This window comes from Homo sapiens, chromosome 1 (assembly GCF_000001405.40).
Source record: "Homo sapiens chromosome 1, GRCh38.p14 Primary Assembly".
Classification (NCBI taxonomy): Eukaryota; Metazoa; Chordata; class Mammalia; order Primates; family Hominidae; genus Homo; species Homo sapiens.
The window spans coordinates 93,075,572-93,095,176 of record NC_000001.11 but is presented as its reverse complement, the minus strand read 5'-3'; the positions used below and the strand labels follow the sequence as shown (position 1 = coordinate 93,095,176).

General features: G+C 39.9%; 1 protein-coding gene across 4 annotated transcripts in view, besides 3 other annotated features; it reads right to left on the bottom strand.

Moving 5' to 3' along the window:
* Positions 1 to 15,894, bottom strand: part of MTF2 (metal response element binding transcription factor 2) — a 59,794-nt gene extending 43,900 nt beyond the window's left edge. For all 4 annotated transcript variants that reach the window (NM_007358.4, NM_001164392.2, NM_001164391.2 and 1 more), the window contains exon 1: positions 15,646 to 15,894. In NM_007358.4, coding sequence (NP_031384.1) covers positions 15,646 to 15,650 — 5 coding nt within the window. In that variant the 5' untranslated portion in view covers positions 15,651 to 15,894. The remainder of the gene's footprint in view (positions 1 to 15,645) is intronic.
* Positions 15,851 to 16,145: an enhancer, noted in NCBI's record as "tiled region #13810; HepG2 Activating DNase unmatched - State 1:Tss, and K562 Activating DNase unmatched - State 1:Tss". NCBI's record gives its function as "activates a minimal TATA promoter and a strong SV40 promoter by Sharpr-MPRA in HepG2 and K562 cells {active_cell/tissue: HepG2 | K562}" and the evidence as "EXISTENCE:reporter gene assay evidence [ECO:0000049][PMID:27701403]".
* Positions 15,851 to 16,331: a biological region, named in NCBI's record as "Sharpr-MPRA regulatory region 13810".
* Positions 16,082 to 16,331: an enhancer, noted in NCBI's record as "active region_1326". NCBI's record gives its function as "activates an Ori minimal core promoter by ATAC-STARR-seq in GM12878 lymphoblastoid cells {active_cell/tissue: GM12878}" and the evidence as "EXISTENCE:reporter gene assay evidence [ECO:0000049][PMID:35858748]".

The following is a 19,605-nucleotide window of genomic DNA, read 5'->3' as shown; positions in this document are numbered from 1 at the left end:
AGTCCCAGCTTCCCAGCTACTCAGAACACATAAGTGGGAGGATCACTTGAGCCCAGGAGTTTGAGGCAGCAGTGAGCTATAATGGCAGTGAGCTATATAATCCAGCCACTGTATTCCAGCCTGGGTAACAGAGCAAGACCATGTCTGAAAAAAAAGACACTTGGAACCCCCGAGTCACATCTCCTATCCTGTACATCCCATCAGAATATGGAACGTTTATTCTTTCAAGGAATTGAATCAAGGGAAATACAAGGCACAGAGAGGGGAACAGGTAAGGTGCCAGCTGAAAATAGAGGTAAACTTTCTCTATAAATATATTCAAGCCAATAAATGAAAAAGAAAATGTTTTAAATCACCATTTTGCAACACCTAATGAATAAATAGATCTATGCACTGAGCATCAGTAGCTGCTAAGAGCACAGCAAGAGAAACATTACATGCTTCCTGATGGGAGAACCCACAGCACATGTGAAATAGTCTTGCCCACCCCACCCCCCAAAAAGGCAAACCTGAACCTGGTAAGCCTCTAGATCTAGTAAATGCAGAGAAATATGCTCAACTACACAGTGGGGATGCAACAGCAAAATACAGGTTAGGAAATGCACATGACAAATGACCTGGTTTCTCCCACAAATAAACTCCACAGAAAAAAAGAGGCAAGATCTAAGATAGAACCTGTAATTGAAAAAAAATCTTAAAACATATATTTTAAAACTAGTAAATTAAACTACAACCCTCAAAATGCACATCTGAATAATAAGACTACAAAGAAAAAATAATCACCACAGAAGTCAGGATGGAGATTATCTGGGGGATGAAAGGGTTGCAATGTGGGTTTCTGGGTTAGCTGGCAATGTTCTACTTTTGACCCTGGGGTGATTACAAAAGTTTTCACCTTATATAACCAAGATAGAAAATAAGAGAAAACAGATTAAGAAAATTAGAGGACCAATCAGAAATATCCAACATGTGAAAACAGAAAAAAAGTGGAGAAAAAATTATCAAAGTAAAAGAAAACATCCCAGTACTGAAAGAAGTAACCAGATTGAAAAGGCCACAAGTGTCCAGCAAACTGAACAAAAAAAACCTGTTCTAAGAAAATCAAGGACAAAGATACTACGTTTACAAAGAGATAAAAGGGCAACTAACAAGGGACTGAGAATAATAATCATTATAGCAATATTACAAGTCAGAAGACAGTGGAACTATTCACTTAAAAATCTGAGTGAAAAATAAATTCTGGGTGAAAATCAACCTTATAACCAGTCAAATTATCAATCAAGGGACTAAAAAGAGTAAGTAAAGCTGGGCTACAGTGGCACACTCCTGTAGTCCCAGCTACTCCAGAGGCTGAGGCAGGAGGATCGCTTGAGCCTAGTTCAGGGCTGTAGTGTACTATGATCATGCCTGTGAATAGCCACTACACTCCACCCTGGGCAACACAGAGAGACCCTATCTCTAAAATGTATTTTTTTAAAAAAAGAGTGTATGTGTATGAAAATTAGAACATTTTCAGCCATATAAAGTATTTAAAGATTTATCCCCCAAGCACACTTTATTTGAGCTTAATAAAACTAAACAGAGGGAGTAAACCAAATAAAAGGCAGGCACGGAATGCAAGGTATGTCACACAGAAGGGAAGAGAAAGGAATTCCCAGGATGGTGGTAAAGGAAAGCCCCAAGACAACTTCCATGCAGCAGGTCTAGAGAACCAGTCCAAATTAGAGCAGAACTCCAGAAGAACTCCAGGAGGATATCTCTAAGAAAAATAAATGGCACTGATAAATTAGATGACAGATTGACATTGTGGAAAAGTGCACTGTGAGACATTTTGTGGAACTGAAGATGTATGAAGATTTTAATGTTCAAAGAAAACTAGGCAAATTTTGTTTTTTAATGAGGCAATTTTTAAACATAGTTGTATAAGAAAAAAATGTAAATCTAGAAATAACAGCTAACAAGTATTTGACACTATTTTAAATTTTTTTTTTTTTTGAGACAGAGTCTCACTCTGTCGCCCACACTGGAGTGCAGTGGTGTGATCTCAGCTCACTGCAACCTCTGCCTCCCGGGTTCAAGCGATTCTCCTGCCTCAGCCTCCCAAGTAGCTGGGATTACAGGTATGTGCCACCACGCCTGGCTAATTTTTTGTATTTTTAGTAGAGACAGGATTTCACCGTGCAAACCAGGATGATCTCGATCTCCTAACCTCGTGATTTGCCCGCCTTGGCCTCCCAAAGTGCTGGGATTACAGGTGTGAGCCATCGCACCCGGCCTCTAAATTCTTTACAAGCATTAACTAACCCTCACCACTACTTTGTGGTACCATATTCTACGTGGTTCTTCATATGTAAACAATTTTTATATACTCACAAATGAAAACAGTTTAAAATGTTTTATATAACTATACTGAAAGAATGAGGAGAGAAGCAATGAATTTCTTTCTCATCTAACATGTTTATAGAGAAAGCTTTCTCTATAACATTATGTTTCATCTAACATTATGTTACAGAGAATATATTTATAGAGAAAGCTTACCCCCTTATTCCTCTCCTCATTCATTCTCATCTAACATTATAAAAAATATATAAAATTGATGAATCTAAATGCAGTGCTATTTTATTTAGAGATATAAAGAATTAGCTAAGGGTTAAAAGTTATTGCCTCTAAGGAGTGGGAAGGGGCGGAGGGAACAGAAAAGAAACTACATTGTTTTGGTAAAAAAGCCTTTTAATTTCAAAATTATCTGATTTTTAAACTTTTAGCAAGTAGCATGCCATTAAATATTCCAAATTTACTTTTTAAAAGATAGAAAATGATAAAAGCAGTGAAGACAAACCAAAAGCAGTGAAGACAAACCCTTGGTAACATCAACATCTATGGTAGTGTTTCAAAAGGATATTTTCTGAATACTAGTTCTAAAGAATGTTAATAGTTGGTATGTGAAAAAACTGTTTCAATAACCAATTAATATCCTCAGAGATATGAGAAAATATTACATCCATGAAATAATAAGGAGCTCTAAGAAATAAAATTATAGCCAAAATAAAAATTTCAAGAGAAGAAAAACCAAACATATATAATAAGAGAAAACAGATTAAGACAACCAAAGGCTCATCTAAGACATCCAGCACATGAAAACAGAAAAAAGGTGGGGAAAAAATTACCAAAGAAAAAGTAGAAGACGACATCCCAGTAACCAGGTAAACTGTGGGGCTTTTTCACAAAAGGACTTCTTGGAGATTTTAATATGTTAAGAAATACTTTATATATAGTTTTCTCTGACATGAGACAACAGAAACTCCACACTCCCTTTCCTTAAAACAGCTCAAGAAACAATTGTTTTAATAAGGCAGTGGTTCTCAACTCAAGTCCATAAACCAGTACTGATCTACAGCAAAGTAAGAAAAGCAAGAACAATGTATTCAGTATTTAATTAAGTTAGTTAACTTAAAAGACCACTCTGTATTTTGAGGGCATATCCTTCTTATATTCTTAAATGTAAGTATCTTTTATGCAATGATGGTGGTCACAGTTTAAAACATTCTTACTTTCTAAAATGAAACGTTGGCAATCTTGTCAGTACACTATCTCCACCCCACCAGTTAATGGTTCATGAAAGGTAAGTATAGGAATCTCTGGAAAACTCTTATTTGAATGATGGACAAACAACTCCAGAGGGGCTAAGCACAGTGGCTGTCACCTATAATCCCAGCACTTTGGGAGGCTGAAGTGGGAGGATTGCTTGAGGCCAGAAGTTAGAAAACTAGTCTGGGCAACATGGCAAGATCTTGTATTGCCATGTTTTAAAAATGTTTTAAATACAAAATTTAAAATGCTTTTTTATAAAAGTATCCTGAGGAAAAGAAGTCACCAGAGAAATACAAGGATAACCCAGAGAGTAAAATATTACCAAAAAAATGAGAAAATACAACTAAGTAGTAGTATACCAGATGTACCAGACGGGTTAAGTAAAATGAGTAATAAAAACTGTTTATTGAATATAACAATTCAAACGTCACATACGAGCACTGACTTCAAATGCCAGACTGCATGGGGTTTAGAAGTGAGGACTAACAGGCTGAGTTTAGCTTATTCTAAAAGTTTAGCTCCTCAAAAAGGTCAAAAAAGTTTTAGGGGCAAAAAAATGTTTGAACATTCATACAAGCTACAAGGTTACAAAAATGGAGAAGTTGTTAAAACTAGGAAAAATAGGCTGGGTGCGGTGGCTCACGCCTGTAATCCCAGCACTCTGGGAGGCCGAGGTGGGCGGATCATGAGGTCAGGAGATCGAGACCATCCTGGCAAACACGATGAAACCCCATCTCTACTAAAAATACAAAAAATTAGCCAGGCATGGTGGCGGGTGCCTATAGTCCCAGCTACTTGGGAGACTGTGGCAGGAGAACGGCATGAACCTGGGAGGCAGAGCTTGCAGTGAGCCGAGATCGTGCCACTGCATTCCAGCCTGGGTAACACAGTTAGACTCCGTCTCAAAAAAAAAAAAAAAAACTAGGAAAAATAACGTAACCAAGAATATTCATATTCCAACAATCCTACTCTCTTACTTTCATACACTGATGATTAAACCTGAATCTTCTGTGTAAAAGATATATTAAAAGTACAGTCAGTCAGGCACAGTGGCTCATGCCTGTAATCCCAGCACTTTGGGAGGCCAAGGCAGGCAGATCACCTGAGGTCAGGAATTCGAGACCCTCCTGGCCAGCATGGAGAAACCCCCATCTCTACTAAAAATACAAAAATTGGCCAGGCGCAGTGGCTCACGCCTGTAATCCCAACACTTTGGGAGGTCAAGGCAGGCAGATCACCTGAGGTCAGGAATTCAAGACCCGCCTGGCCAGCATGGAGAAATCCCCATCTCTACTAAAAATACAAAAATTGGCCAGGCATGGTGGCTCACACCTGTAATCCCAGCACTTTGGGAGGCTGAGGCGGGTGGATCACGAGGTCAGGAGATGGAGACCATCCTGTCTAACACGGTGAAACCCCGTCTCTACTAAAAATACAAAAAATTAGCCGGGCGTGATGGCGGGTGCCTGTAGTCCCAGCTACTCAGGAGGCTGAGGCAGGAGAATGACGTGAACTCGGGAGGCGGAGCTTGCAGTGAGCCGAGATCGTGCTACCGCGCTCCAGCCCGGGGGACAGAGCGAGACTCCATCTCAAAAAAGAAAAAAAATTAGCCAGGTGTGGTGGTGCACACCTGAGATCCCAGCTACTCTGGAAGCTGAGGTTGCAGTGAGCAAAGATTGCGCCACTGCACTCCAGCCTCGGTGACAGAGTGAGACTCTGTCTCAAAAAAAAAAAAAGGAAAATCAAGCTATTAATACTGGGGAGGCTGAGACAGGAACATCCCTTGAGGCTGGGAGTTCAAGACCAGCCTGGGCAACATAACGAGATCCCCATACACAGACACAATCTCTAAAACAATGAAAATATTAAGCCAGGCATAGCGGTGAGAGCATGTAGTCCCAACTACCTGGGAGGCTGAAGTGTGAAGATATCCTGGGCCCAGGAGTTCAAACGCTACCGTGATACAGTGAAGTACGAGAGCTGTGATTGTACCACTGCACTCTTGAGAGGCTCCATCTTTCTTTTTTTTTAAAGGCAGAATCAAACAATTTTCTAGAAATTTACAATCTAATAACTCCATGTAAACAAGTGGAATTTGCATTTTGAATTACAATTGAAAGTAAACATTTTGCTCATCACTGGAACTCTAAAACTTTTCAAGGTATGGCATAAAGTAGGGACTTAAAAATCTCTCTTGAATAAACTAATCAAAGTCTGTATTTATCAATACACACACTAGTAAGTAAATCCTCCATTTATCAAGCAAATATCACTATCCTATAAAAGCACATATTCTATTACAGAGACCCAAATTTATTTATGTATTTATCTAGAATTAAAAAGCCAAAAAAGCTCTTACAAATTTTACTTAATTTCACCTCACTTGAAAATTGCAACTAAAAGCAGAGGCAAATTCTCCTCCCCAACCTCAAGTTCAGCCTGAGCCCCCTAGAATTAAAAATAGCTTAACCACCTAACAGGTTAGAGAATGAACAGAGGTGTTTACAATGTCAGTGACTGTGGCTTTAGTACTCTTCATGAAATTACAGAAAATATTTTTAAATATCTTAAAATGTACGATAAAAAGTCAGTTTTATAGAACATCTTTGTATGTTTGTGTTTCTACCAAAAGCATGTATTTTTGTGATCACAAAAAAACTTTTATAAACTATAAAAAATACAGATCTTAAGATTTTTTTAAAAATTGTAAATGAGGTTGGGCATGGTGGTTCATGCCTGTAATCCCAGCACTCCACTCTGGTAGGCTGAGGCAGGCAGATCACTTGAGGTCAGGAGTTCCATACCAGCCTGGCCAACGTGGTGAAACACCATCTCTACCAAAAAACACAAAAATTAGCCAGGCACGTTGGCACACAGCTGTAATCCCAGCTACTTGGGTGGCTGAAGCATGAGAATTGCTTGAACCCAGGAGGCAGAGGTTGCAGTGAGCCGAGATCGCACCACTGCATTCCCGCCTGGGCAAGAAAGTGAGATTCTGTCTCAAAAAAAAATTGTAAATGACACTGTTAAATATAATATATCAAGTATTTTCAAAATGGTAAATACCAAACATTTAGAAACAGTAATAGATTTCAAAAATATATCTGATTTTTTTAAAAGCCAATATGACAACTGGTAAAATCTTTACATCACAATACCCATAGCCATCTAAATTATTTGTGCAAAAGGAATCCTTGATTATATTATCTCACATATACAATGAATAATAAAGAAAGGTTAACTACAGACTTAAAACACCAAAACCAACAAGGCCACTAATATACATTAAAACCACAGATAAATGTGAATTAAGTACAGGTACATACATTCATGTTCAAGTCCAGAATTTATAAAGTTGATTACACTACATAAAATGAGCCTCCACTAACAATTCAGGCAAGGATGAACTGGAAAGTTCAGCGTTGTCATTATAATCCTGCAGACTCTGGTCCTAAGACCAACGAGAAAAAAATAAGAGAACTGAGGGGCTCTTGCTGCAAGCCACTAACTATACCCTAGAGTTTTAAAAGTTCCAATTACTATAAACAAAAGTATGAACTGGATCTTTGGTAGGTAGTAGAGCATATGGATGATAAGGGCTTGAAAATATCTTCATCTTGCTATACTGCTTAACTTTCTCAAAAGCATTCATATCTCATTTTCTCCTCCTAATAATGCCATAGAATAGGAAGGGAAGACTACTGTTTAACAAGTGAAAAATCTGGAACTCAGAAGTAAAATTACTTCCTTAAAGTTGTAAAGAAAGATAGGTAATACCTGGCTCTACTATGGTAAACCCCAGTTAAGTGATACTATTTCTGAGACAAAGTTATTCTAGATATTTGTCACCTTTGGATCCCAATTATGAACCGAGGTCACATACAGTGGGGAAGGCCAAGAATATTTTCAGATTTAGCAACTGGTGAATGAAATCAGGCCATTCACTGCCAGTATCGACAGTATCCAGCCTCTTGTCCACAGTATATTTTGCCATTAAGGCTTTTTTTTTTTTTTGAGACAGAGTCTCACTCTGTTGCCCAGGCTGCCATGCAATGGTACCATCTCCGCTCACTGCAACCTCTGCCTCCTGGGTTCAAGCAATTCTCCTGCCTCAGCCTCCTGAGTAGCTGGGATTACAGGTGCGTGCCACCACGCCTGGCTAATTTTTGCATTTTTAGTAGAGATGGGGTTTTACCGTGTTGGTCACGCTGGTTTTGAACTCCCGACCTCAGGTGATCCACCCACCTCGGCCTCCCAAAGTGCTGGGATTACAGGCGTGAGCCACCACACCCAGCCTTAAGGCCTTTTTTATAAGTCTAACTGAAGTCATCTATCAGTGATGAAATGATGCATTCCTACAGATGGTTCAACTTGGTTGTTAAGTGTCCTCAGATACTAATACAAGTTGAGCATCCCTAACCTGAAAGTCCAAAATCTGAAATGCTTCAAAATCTGAAACTTTCTAAGCATCAACCACACATGAAAAATTCCACATCTGACCTCGTAACAGGTTGTAGTCAAAACGCAGGTGGCACAACACAGTTTATTCAGTGTCCCGAACGAAAAAATAAGCTTTAGACTAAGCATACAACGTGTGTATGAAACATAAATGAATTTTGTGTTTAAACTTGGGTCTCATCCCCAAGACATCTCATTTGTATATGCAAATAAGCCTAAAATCCTAAAACCCTTCTGGTCCCAAGCATTTCAAATAAGGGATATTCAACCTGTAGCTGTCTGCCCAATTTTGAAACAACAAGAAAAAGTTCAAAGACAGCTGCCTGTAGTATACATTTTCAAAGCTCTGTATTTATCACATAGATAAATACAAAAGGACTTTATAAATAGTTCTTCAAACACCAACAAAACTGGGAAACTAACATAATTACTAGGCTGAAAAAGCTACAAGTCAAATATGATATATTAGTTTTCTTCTCCCACAGGAATATGTCTTTGCATCTCAAGATTCACCCGGGGCTGCCTATCAATTATTCACAAACCAAGATCTTTTCCACCCAAGGCATTCATACATATTGTACCTACTACCAAAATTGCCCTTCTTCCTCATCTTTTTTTTTTTTTTTTTTTTGAGACAGTCTCGCTCTGTCACCCAGGATGGAGTGCAGTGGTGCAATCTCAGCTCACTGCAGCCCCCGCCTCCTGGGTTCAAGTGAACCTCAGCCTCCTGAGTAGCTGAGATTACAGACATGTGCCACCACACCTGGCTAAATTTTTTGTATTTTTAGTAGAGACAGGGTTTCACTATGTTGGCCCAGCTGGTCTCAAACTCCTGGCCTCAAGCGATCCGCCCGCCTCAGCCTCTCAAAGTGCTAGGATTACAGGCGTGAGCCAATGCACCCGGCCTCCTCCTTCATTATTTACATAGTTGATCCTTCCTTCTAAGCATAGTCATGTGCTACACAGTAAAACTTTGGTCAACGACAGATTACATATACAGCAGTGGTCCCATAAGATTATAATGGAGCTGAAAAATTCATATTACCCAGTGACTTTGTAACCACTGTAATGCAATGCTTTACAATGTGTTTGCAGTGATGTTGGTATAAAACAAACCTACTGCACTGCCAGTAGCATAAAGTCTTGCACATATACTCATTATGTACAATACATAATACTGATAACAAACGACTGTGTTACTGGTTTATGTATATGCTATTTAGTTGTCCCTTGGTATCCACAAGGCACTGGTCACAGAACCTCCTGAGGATACCAAAATCCACAGATACTCAAGTTCTGCAGTGTGACCCATAGAACCTATGGATGCTAAAAGTTGGCCCTGGCTGGGCCCAAGTGGCATGCCTGTAATCCCAGCACCTAAGGAGGCCAAGGCAGGAGGATTGTTTGAGGCCAGGAGTTCAAGAATAGCATGGGCAACATACCAAGACCCCGTTTCTACAGAATATTTTAAAAATTAGCCAGGTGTGGTGGCATGCACTTGTAGTCCTAGCTACTCAGGAGGCTGAGGTGGAAGGATCACTTGAGCCCGGGAGTTTGAGGGTACAGTGAGCTATGATCACGCCACTGCACTCCAGCCTGGGCAACAGAGAGACCCTGTCTCTTTTAATGAAGAAAAAAAAAAAAAAAAAAAGGCCGGGTGCAGTGGCTCACGCCTGTAATCCCAGCACTTTGGGAAGCCACGAAGGGCGCATCATGAGGTCAGGAGATCGAGACCATCCTGGCCAACATGGTGAAACCCCGTCTCTACTAAAAAATACAAAAAAATTAGCCGGGCATGGTGGTGGGCATCTGTAGTCCCAGCTATTCATGAGGCTGAGGCAGGAGAATGACATGAACCTGGGAGGCGGAGCTTGCACTGAGCCGAGATGGTGCCACTGCACTCCAGCCTGGACTCCGTTTCAAAAAAAAAAAAAGAAAGAAAGAAAAGAAAAAAGGTAATGTAATTAGGATCCATAACTATACTATAATGACAATGCTTTGAAATTTTAAAAGTATTTTTAGTACTAGATAAGCACTTCACAAACTACCCTTCTATCTCCCTGATTATGGGAGAATTCTTTAACTACTATCAAAAAATCCTCAGAACTGAGAATCAACAGAGGGGCTCAAGTACTGATAAGAACTTTAAATTAAATGAGGATAGGAGAAAGTGATGCTTTATCTTATCAAGGAAAATGGTTTACTTTGTTTCTATATGTTCAAAGTATTTCTTTTAATACTTACATTTTTAAAGACAGGGCCTTGCTCTGTCACCCAGGCTGGAGTGCAGTGGCACATCATAGCTCTCATAGTTCACTGAAGTCTCAAACTCCTAAGCTCAAGCAATCCTCCTACCCAATCCTCCTGCCTCAGCCTCCTGAGTAGCTGGGACCACCGTGCCTGGCTCAGGAATAAATTTAACAGAAGAAGTTCGAGAATTGTACAATGAAAACTACATAATATCAGAGAAAGAAATTAAATAAGATCTATATAACTGGAAAGGCATCCCATGTTCATAGATGTTAATAATATTAAAATGGCAAGTCTTCCCAAATCAATCTATAGATTCAATACAATACCTACCAAAATCCCAGCTGCGTTTTTTTGCACAGACTCACAGATTGATCCTAAAATTTACATGGAAAAGTGAAAGGAACCCAGAATAGCCAAATTGTTTTTTAAAAAGAAAAAAACTTGAGGACTCACAACGTCCCAATTTCAAAACTTACTATGAAGTAATGGTAATTAAAATATTATGGTACAGTCCTAAGTACAGACACATAAATCAATGGAATAAAACTGGGATCCAAGAACAAACTTTTACATGTATGGTTAATTTATTTTTGACAAGATTGTCAAACACAAGTCAATGAGGAAAGAATTAGTTTTTTTTAACAAATGGTACTAGAAAACTGGTATCCACATGCAAAACACTGAAGTTGGACCCCTACCTCACACCATATATAAAAAATTGACTCAAAATAGATGACGGACCTAAATGTAAAAGCTAAAACTATAAAGCTCTTTAGATACGGCATCAAAAGCATAAGCAAAAAAAAAAGGAATAAATTGAACTTTATCAAAATTAAGAATATTTGTGCTTAAAAGGACACCATCAGGAAAGTGAAAAGATAATGCACAGGATGGGGGAAGAAAAGTCTGCAAATCATATCTGATAACAGGCTTGTATCCAAGAATAAAAAGACAGTCCCATTTTTTAAATGAGCAAAAGACTTAAATAGACAGTTCTCCAAAGAAGGTATACAAATGGCCAACAAGTATGTGGAAAGATCCTCAATATAATTAGCCATAAGTGAAATGCAAATCAAAACCACAATGAAATACCAATTCAAACCCTAGGATGGTTATAATCAAAAGATAGACAATAATAAGTATCAGTGAGGATGTGGATAAACTGGTGAGATAATCACTCACCAGATAATCGCTAGTGAGCTTGTAGAATGGCACAGCCTCTTTGAAAAACAGTTTGGCAGTTCCTCAAAACACTAATCCGAGTTATCATCTGACCCAGTAATTTCACTCCTAGATATGTGTACCCAAGAGAAATGAAAACATGTTCACCCAAACCCTATACATGAATGATCACTGCAGCATTACTTACAATAGTCAAAATGTGGGAACAACCCAAATGTCCATCAACTGATGACTAGACAAACAAAAAAAGGTATATTCATATAATGAAATATTATTTGACCCTAAAAAGATATGAAGTGACTATAAATGCTACAACATGGCTGTTCCATGAAAACATTAACGATATAGTTTGGATTTTGTGTGCCCGCCCAAATATTCCGTCAAATTGTAACCCCCAACATTGGAGGAGGCCCCTGGTGGGAAATGACTAGATCATGCAGGCAGATTTTCCCCCCTGCTGTTCTCATGATACTGAGTTCTCTGGTTGTTTAAAAGCATGTGGAGCCGCCCCCATCTCTAATCCTCCTGCTGTGGCCACTTCAAGGGGGCCACTTCAACAGGAAGTTTCCTGAGGCCTCCCCAGCCATGCTTCCTGTATGGCCTGTGGAACCGTAAGCCGATCAAAATTATTTTCTTTATAAATTACCCAGTCTCAGTTATTTCTTCATAGCAGTACAAGAATGGACTAATATAGTCATGCTAAGTGAAGGAAGCCAGACATAAAAGGCCACATATTGTACTACTCCATTTACATGAAATGTCCAGAACAGGCAAATTTATAGACACAGAAGGTAGATTAGTGGTTGCCAGAGGATAGTGGATAGGTGAAGGGGACTGACTGTTAATGGATTAAGATTTTCTTTTCTTTTTGGGATGATGAAAATATTCTGAAATTAGGTATGGTGATGGCTGCACAACTTTGTGAGTATACTAAAAAAAATCACTGAACTGTACACCTTCAAAGAATGCATGTGAATTATGTACATATAACTATAGTATATAAATTATATCTCAATAAAACTTATTAACAACTGTACAGTTAAGATTTGTGCATTTCAATATATGTAAACTTCACCTAAAAATAAACCTTTAAAAAATAATAAAAACAATGGGCTGGGCACAGTGGCTCAATCCCAACACTTTAGGAGGCCACAGCAGGAGGACTGCTTGAGGCCAAAAGTTCATGACCAGCCTGGGCAACACAGTAAGATCCCGTCTCCACAAAAAAAATTAAAAATTTAAAAATTAGCCAGGTGTGGTGGTGTGCACCTGTAGTCCTAACTACTCGGCAGGCTAAGGCAGGAGGATCACTTCCGCCCAAGAGTCTGAGGCAGCAGCAAGTTATGATAGCACCACTTCACTCCAGCCTGGGTGACAGAGCAAGACCTTGTCTCTTTTTACAGAAAAAAAAAAAAAAAAGAATGGTTACATAAAAGCTCACTATTCTATTCTGCTCACTTTGTATTATGTTTGAAATATTCCTTAAGTTTTTTCTACCAAAGTGTAAAAACAAAGTAATTTTTTTAAACAACAAAACGTTCCTAATATCCATTTTTTGTTGTTTTTTGACACAGAAGCAGAATCTTATATTTTAAAAAGACTAGAGAGGTCACTATCTTTCATTATTCTATTGCAATGTTATATGAAAACAGAAATATGACAGAAGACATGGTATGTGGTAAAAATGAATACTTCATCTTAAATGTACAAAAAGAATCTGAACTTCCTCAGTTCTCAGGCATTTCCTCATCCTTGGATTCCTGTGGTTTCCATGGTTAATGAATGTAACAATTCCTCAATACATGGATGCAATAACCCCTACTACTGTGCTGTCCAATACAGTAGCACTGCTACATATGGCCATTTAAATTTTAGTTTTAATGAATTAAATTATAAATTCACTTCTTAGTCTCACTAGTTACATTTCTAGAGTTCAATACCCACATGCAGCTAGTGGCTACTGTACTGGATACAGCAGATATAGAACACTGCCATCACTGGAGAAATTTCTACTAGATAGCACTACTCTAACATATAAGAAATATCCACAGGGAAACTTTTACATTCCAATTTAGGATGGTTATACTGGATTTCACAGCAATAAACAAATTTTCCTGAAGAACAGGGAAAACAAAGTACAAAAATATTAACCATCAAAGATCGTTCATGGAAGTGTCGACTAACTAAAACAGCAGTTAAGTTTTACTTTCAGAACCATCAAGCTACAGATGTTGGTCATGGCAACTCCTCAGAGGCAAATTTCTCTGTTAAAATATAGATTAACAATATACTGTCAGTTTCCTCAAGTCAGATGTAAAGATTATGCTGAAAAATGATTAAAGCAAATTATCCTTCAAAGATCCCACAAAAAGGAATATTTATAATCCATGAAATCAAAGAGTTAATGACCCACAGTAAAATACACAGAATGTCTTTCCTAACAGAGCTTTGAGGCAACGGGGATGATTTAAAGAACTATTAAATATAATTGTGTCATCTAGAAAAAAGGCTTAACAAGATGATTTCTGTACAACTAGTTCTAAAACTGTGTATGCATTTCATCCTGATAGTTACACATTTCCGTTAATACCCACTAACATTATAAATGTAGTATCAGGAAGCAGGTGTGTTCTTAATTCAAATATTTAGAACATTTTTAGCACTTTAAAAAACTGCAGGTGAACTAATTTTAAAATGTGAATTCAAATACATTTTTATATTTAGGAATCTGAAAAAACAAGTCATTTTGTATTCCCTCTCAAGTTATAACTAAACTATAGGGCACTTAAAGCCATCAGTCAAAACAACTCCCTTTAAAGCATTTTCAAATCTTAAAAAGGTTATTGTGAATTTAATTACATTTTATCCACATTAACTACTTCTACATACAACTATCTTTGAAATTTACTGACAAAAAAAAAAAAAAAAGGAATTCCCAAGAGAGAATGAAACCATGGAAATTGAAACCAGCTTGTAGGCTAGGTATACAGGAGGGTCACATGGAATCCATCTGAAGGAGAAAGTAACTACTATTACTACCGGAGGTTCTGAAGTCAAATTAAATCAGGTACTATTTACATATTTCTAGCTCTGTACTGACCTCACATGGTGCCTTCCTATGTATTACACACAGGCCTAGCTAGGTTTTCACATTTAAGTTAGTGTTACATGGTTTCTATCTTTAACCAAAGTTAAATGTTTTAAAGAATAGAGTAACATTCCATAAGCCTTTTCCCATTGTTCACAAACCCTTGCTGTTAGTCAGATTACCCCGATAAATCCATCTGTTCCCTCTAATTGCTTCCAAAGAAAAATTCTAGCAACCAAGGACACCAGATTGTAAAACACAGAGTTAGAGTTCTGGCACTACCGAAATATGTTAAGAAATCTTGGCAAATTGGTTAAAATTCCTTGAGCCGTAATTACCTCAGTTGTAAAAATGAATACAATACAAATCTACATCCTAGACGTAGATTATATGAGTTAGGTTTAATTAAACACAAGAAAAGCCTCATATTTTTGGTGAGCTCCAAATATAAGCTACCTAGCTTTCCCCCATCTCACTTTCCCTCCCACCGCTTCCCTTTAAGCTTTCAGGTTGTGCTTCCAACCTCCACTTCAGTGTGTTCCCCTTATCCTTACCAGCACTTACACTCGACCCCCTTTACTCCAATTCCATACAATTCCACCCTCCGATTCCAAGCTGCTACTTCCCTTTGCGCACTGCTAAGGTCCCAGGCAGCCCTCCACTCTGCTCCCCACATTTCCCTCAGCCCCCATTTCCCAACGGCTCCTCCTCTCGGCTCCCCACCCCCTCGTCACCAGGTTCATCCTGCCCCTCCAACCGTCTCCCGCCCCCAGGTTCCTTCCTGCCCTCCAAACACAGCTTCCCCGTCTCAACGTTTCATCTTGTTCCTCCAACAGACTCCCCCAACGACCTCCTCGCTCCTTTAGTCCCTATTTTCTCCCAACACTCAACTGACTACTCCTCTTCATCCATTCTTTTCAATATACACATAAATGCAAAGGCACCCACATACAGGAGCCCCCACCCCCACCTTGGTCCTCCATCTTTCCCTTTTATACTTGCTTCCTTTCTTCCTCCTTCCCCCAACCCCCATCTCCTCCGGAAGAGTCGGTTCCCAGGCCAAGGTCTCTCACCTCATTCGGTCACTTCAGTGGTGCCAACCGCTTCATACAGGAAAAAACAACCAATCCGTCCCCGTGGGCGCTTCCCCTGCGAGTCCGAGCACTTACTGGGCACCCGCCCCACCGGGTACCCGGCACATATGCACGCACAAACCGAGGTCCTTGGAGACAAGGGTTGGGGGTAGAATGAGCGTTCTTACACCGGCCTCAAACACAGCCCACTTCAATACAGCCCCTCGCCATTTTGGTTTCCCGCGGACTGCCGGTGCATTCTGGGAGCGCGGAGCGACTCCGGTGCCGAATGGCAGCTCTCCAAAGCCGCGGGGGGGCAGGGACTGCGCGGCGAGCGCGGAGGAACACCGCGCCCTGCGTCCCCGACTGGGGCTGAACAAAGAAGGACTCTTTAACGTTGCAGTGAGGCTCAGTCCTTCCGCCGCCGGGGCTAACACAATAGTGAAAGCTGCGCTCCTGATCGTCGGCAGGCTGGCACTGTTATACAGGAAAAGGGTCGTGTGCGACCTTCGGTGTGCGTGGTCGTAACGGTGCTCTGTGCATCTTGCTGGGCCGATTTCTTTTCCCTGGAGAAAACCTTAACTGAAGCACGTTTCCTCTACTTTCATCCTAAGGCCTGCTGTTAGAATTTCCTTCAGAGGGGAGAAGACCCAGGATGTCGAGATTAAATTTTATTCAGCGATTCACTGTCCAGTCCCAAACTCCTTATCAGGAGCTGCTTTTATGAAAGACTTTCAGACGATTTTTTTCCTAACGATGAAAGGTTGTTTTCTGTTTACCCGCTTTGCAGTCCTTCCTAGTTGTAATGAAATCTGAGAATAGTCCCCTGCAAAATGGTTTAAGAAAACAGAATTGTTTATTAGTGCAGACCCTTAGCCTGCCCAGATTCTGCTGCCTACAGGGGTCCCAACTGACAAGCTGTGAGATTGTATGCTTGTCTCTTTAACTTACACCTAGATACAACCCAGCTCCTCTTAGTAGCCACGTGTGGAATCTTTATTTATAATTTCGTCAAAATATTTTTAAAGCCATTTTATATTTTTGTCCCATATTATGCCACAGGGATAGTGAACACCATATTTTTTCTGTCTCTGAAAAAGTACCTTTTGTGGTCTAAGCTCATTTGGCTCATACTTCAAAAGGGGTTCCCTCAGCCTGTGATCTCAGAATTTGGCAAATAAGCATATTCGTTTTATCCAATACCATTCAATACTTTAAATATTGTGGTCATACCCTTCCACTCCTCTGCTTCTCCTGAATAATAGTCCTAATCTTTTAAGTCTGTCTTCTTACTGTACCCTCACTGTATCTACTTACCTACTACCTTTCAGGTTTCACTTTATTTCAATTCTCATCATCGTCTCTCATAAATTCGTCTTAAGTGACCTTCATACGTTGGCTGAGGAAAATTTTGACTTAAAAAAAGCAGATGCAGCCGGGCGCGGTGGCTCACACCTGTAATTCCAGCACTTTGGGAGGCCGAGACAGGCAGATCACCTGAGGTCGGGAATTCGAGACCAACCTGATCAACTTGGAGAAACCCCGTCTCTACTAAAAATACAAAAATTAGCCAGGTGTGGTGGCACATGCCTGTAATCCCAGCTACTCGGGAGGCTGAGACAGGAGAATCGCTTGAACCCAGGAGGCAGAGGTTGTGGTGAGCCAAGATCGTGCCATTGCACTCCAGCCTAGGCAACAAGAGCAAAAACTCCATCTCAAAAAAAAAAAAAAAAAAGTAGATGCATTCCCATTCAGGAACGTGGCATTAAGGTAAATAAATAAATAAAATATTAAAAAGTAGATGCAGTACAAAAATTAATAAAGATATTGCACAAACAGATATATTTGCTGTGCAGCTAAGCCTAATCAGAGAACATCTGTTTTGGAGAACGTTTGGTCTAAGTTTTCCTCAACATTTCTGTAAAGTGGTCACCAAGCCTCAACTTCAAAATCTTCAGTGATTCAATACTTCAGACGCATTCATTTCCACCTCAGAAACTCTAATAATTTAGGCTCTTTGGCTACACAAAAGTATTCTAATCCCTTATACATTAGAGAAGTAAATTATGCCTCTATCAAAAAAAAGTGTTATTTTTCTGTGCAAACGTGTGAGTACAAAGGTGTAAGCAAACCAAGTGTTCAGAGATTTAAGGACACTCAGGGAGTCACAGTCAAGTATAAAGAATACCTGTCAGCCAGCCACCAGCAACTCACTCCTGTAATCCCAGTACTTTGAAAGGCCAAGGTAGAAGGATCACTTGAGCTGGGGAGTTCCAGACCAGTATGCAGTCTGAGCCACATAGTGAGACCCTGTCTCTACAAAAAATTTAAAAATTAGCTGGGCCCCTGCCTGTAGTCCCAGCTATTCAGGAGGCTGAGGTGGTAGGCTTACTTGAGCCACAGTGAGACTGCCTCAAAAAAAAAAAAAAAAAAAAAAAAAACCTGCTGTAGTTGTGGTTCCTCGGAAATATAGAGTGAACTCTGATCAGAGTAAACTGTACCCTTTATTGTTGTATGTATTTCTGTGATCATCCTTAGGGTGGTTCATAAGTATTCTGGTTCCCCTCTCTTCCAGACACATAGTAAAATTGCACTCTGGCCGGGCGCGGTGGCCACGCCTGTAATCCCAGCACTTTGGGAGGCTGAGGGGGGCAGATCACTTTAGGCCAGGAATTCCAGACTAGCGTGGCCAACATGGCAAAACTCTGTCTCTACTAAAAATACAAAAATTAGCCGGGCGTGGTGGTGCATGCCTGTAATCCCAGCTATTTGGGAGGCTGAGGCAGAGAATCACTTGAACCCAGGAGGCCGAGATTGCAGTGAGCCAAGATTGCACCGCTGCACTCCAGCCTAGGCGACAGAGGGAGACTCTGTCTCGAAGAAAAAAGAAAAAAAAATTTGCACTTTCTTGCACCCCTGAAGTTAATTGCTTTGACCAATAAAATGGGTGACATGTATCACTTCTCAGGAGAATCTTTAAGAAGCAGAGACACATCTCCCTCCCCCATGCTATGGTAATCATGGAAGCTTGGGTTGAGATAGAATGTCTGTCGCTTTCAGTTCCTAAATGTCTACAATAAGCAGTGACTAGAATTGTGCAATCATCACCACAATCCACGTTTAAAACATTTCCATCACCCCCAAAAAATTCATTATGCGCATTTGCAGTCAACCCTCCTTCCAAGCCCTAGGCAATCTGCTATCTGCTTTCTGACAATTTCATATAAATGGTTTCATACAATAAGTAGTCTTTTGCATCTGGGTTCTTTCACTCAGAATATTTTTTAGGTTCATCTACGTTGTACCAGTCAGTAGTTATTTCTTTTTATTGCCAAATAGACTCCATTTGAATGAATGTACTACATTTTGTTTATCCATTCGCCAGTTGAAGGACATTTATGTTGTTTTCAATCTGGGGCTATTATAAATAAGACTGCTATGAACATTTGTGTACAAATCTTTGTATGGACATTCGTTTTTTATTTTTCTTGAGTAGATCCCTAGAAGTGGAATTACAGAGTTGTATGATAAGTTTATGTTTAACATTTTAAGATACTGCCAAACTGTTTTCCAAAGTGTAAGCAATATGTAAGCCTTCCAGTTTCCCAATATCCTCACTGATACTTGTCTATCTTTCTGATTTCACTCATAACAGTAGGGATTGCTAGGCATGGTGGCTCACACCTGTAATCCTAGCACTTTGGGAGGCCAAGGCTGGAGGATTGCTTGAGCCCAGAAGTTTGAGACCAGCCAGGGCAATACAGTGAAACCTTGTCTCTAAAAAAATAATAATTTTTTTTTTTTTTAGATGGAGTCTCTCTCTGTCACCCAGGCTGGAGTGCAGTGGCACAATCTTGGCTTACTGCAACCTCTGCCTCCTGAGTTCAAGCGATTCTCCTGCCTCAGCCTCCTGAATAGCTGGGATTACAGGCACGTGCCACCACGCCCGGCTAATTTTTG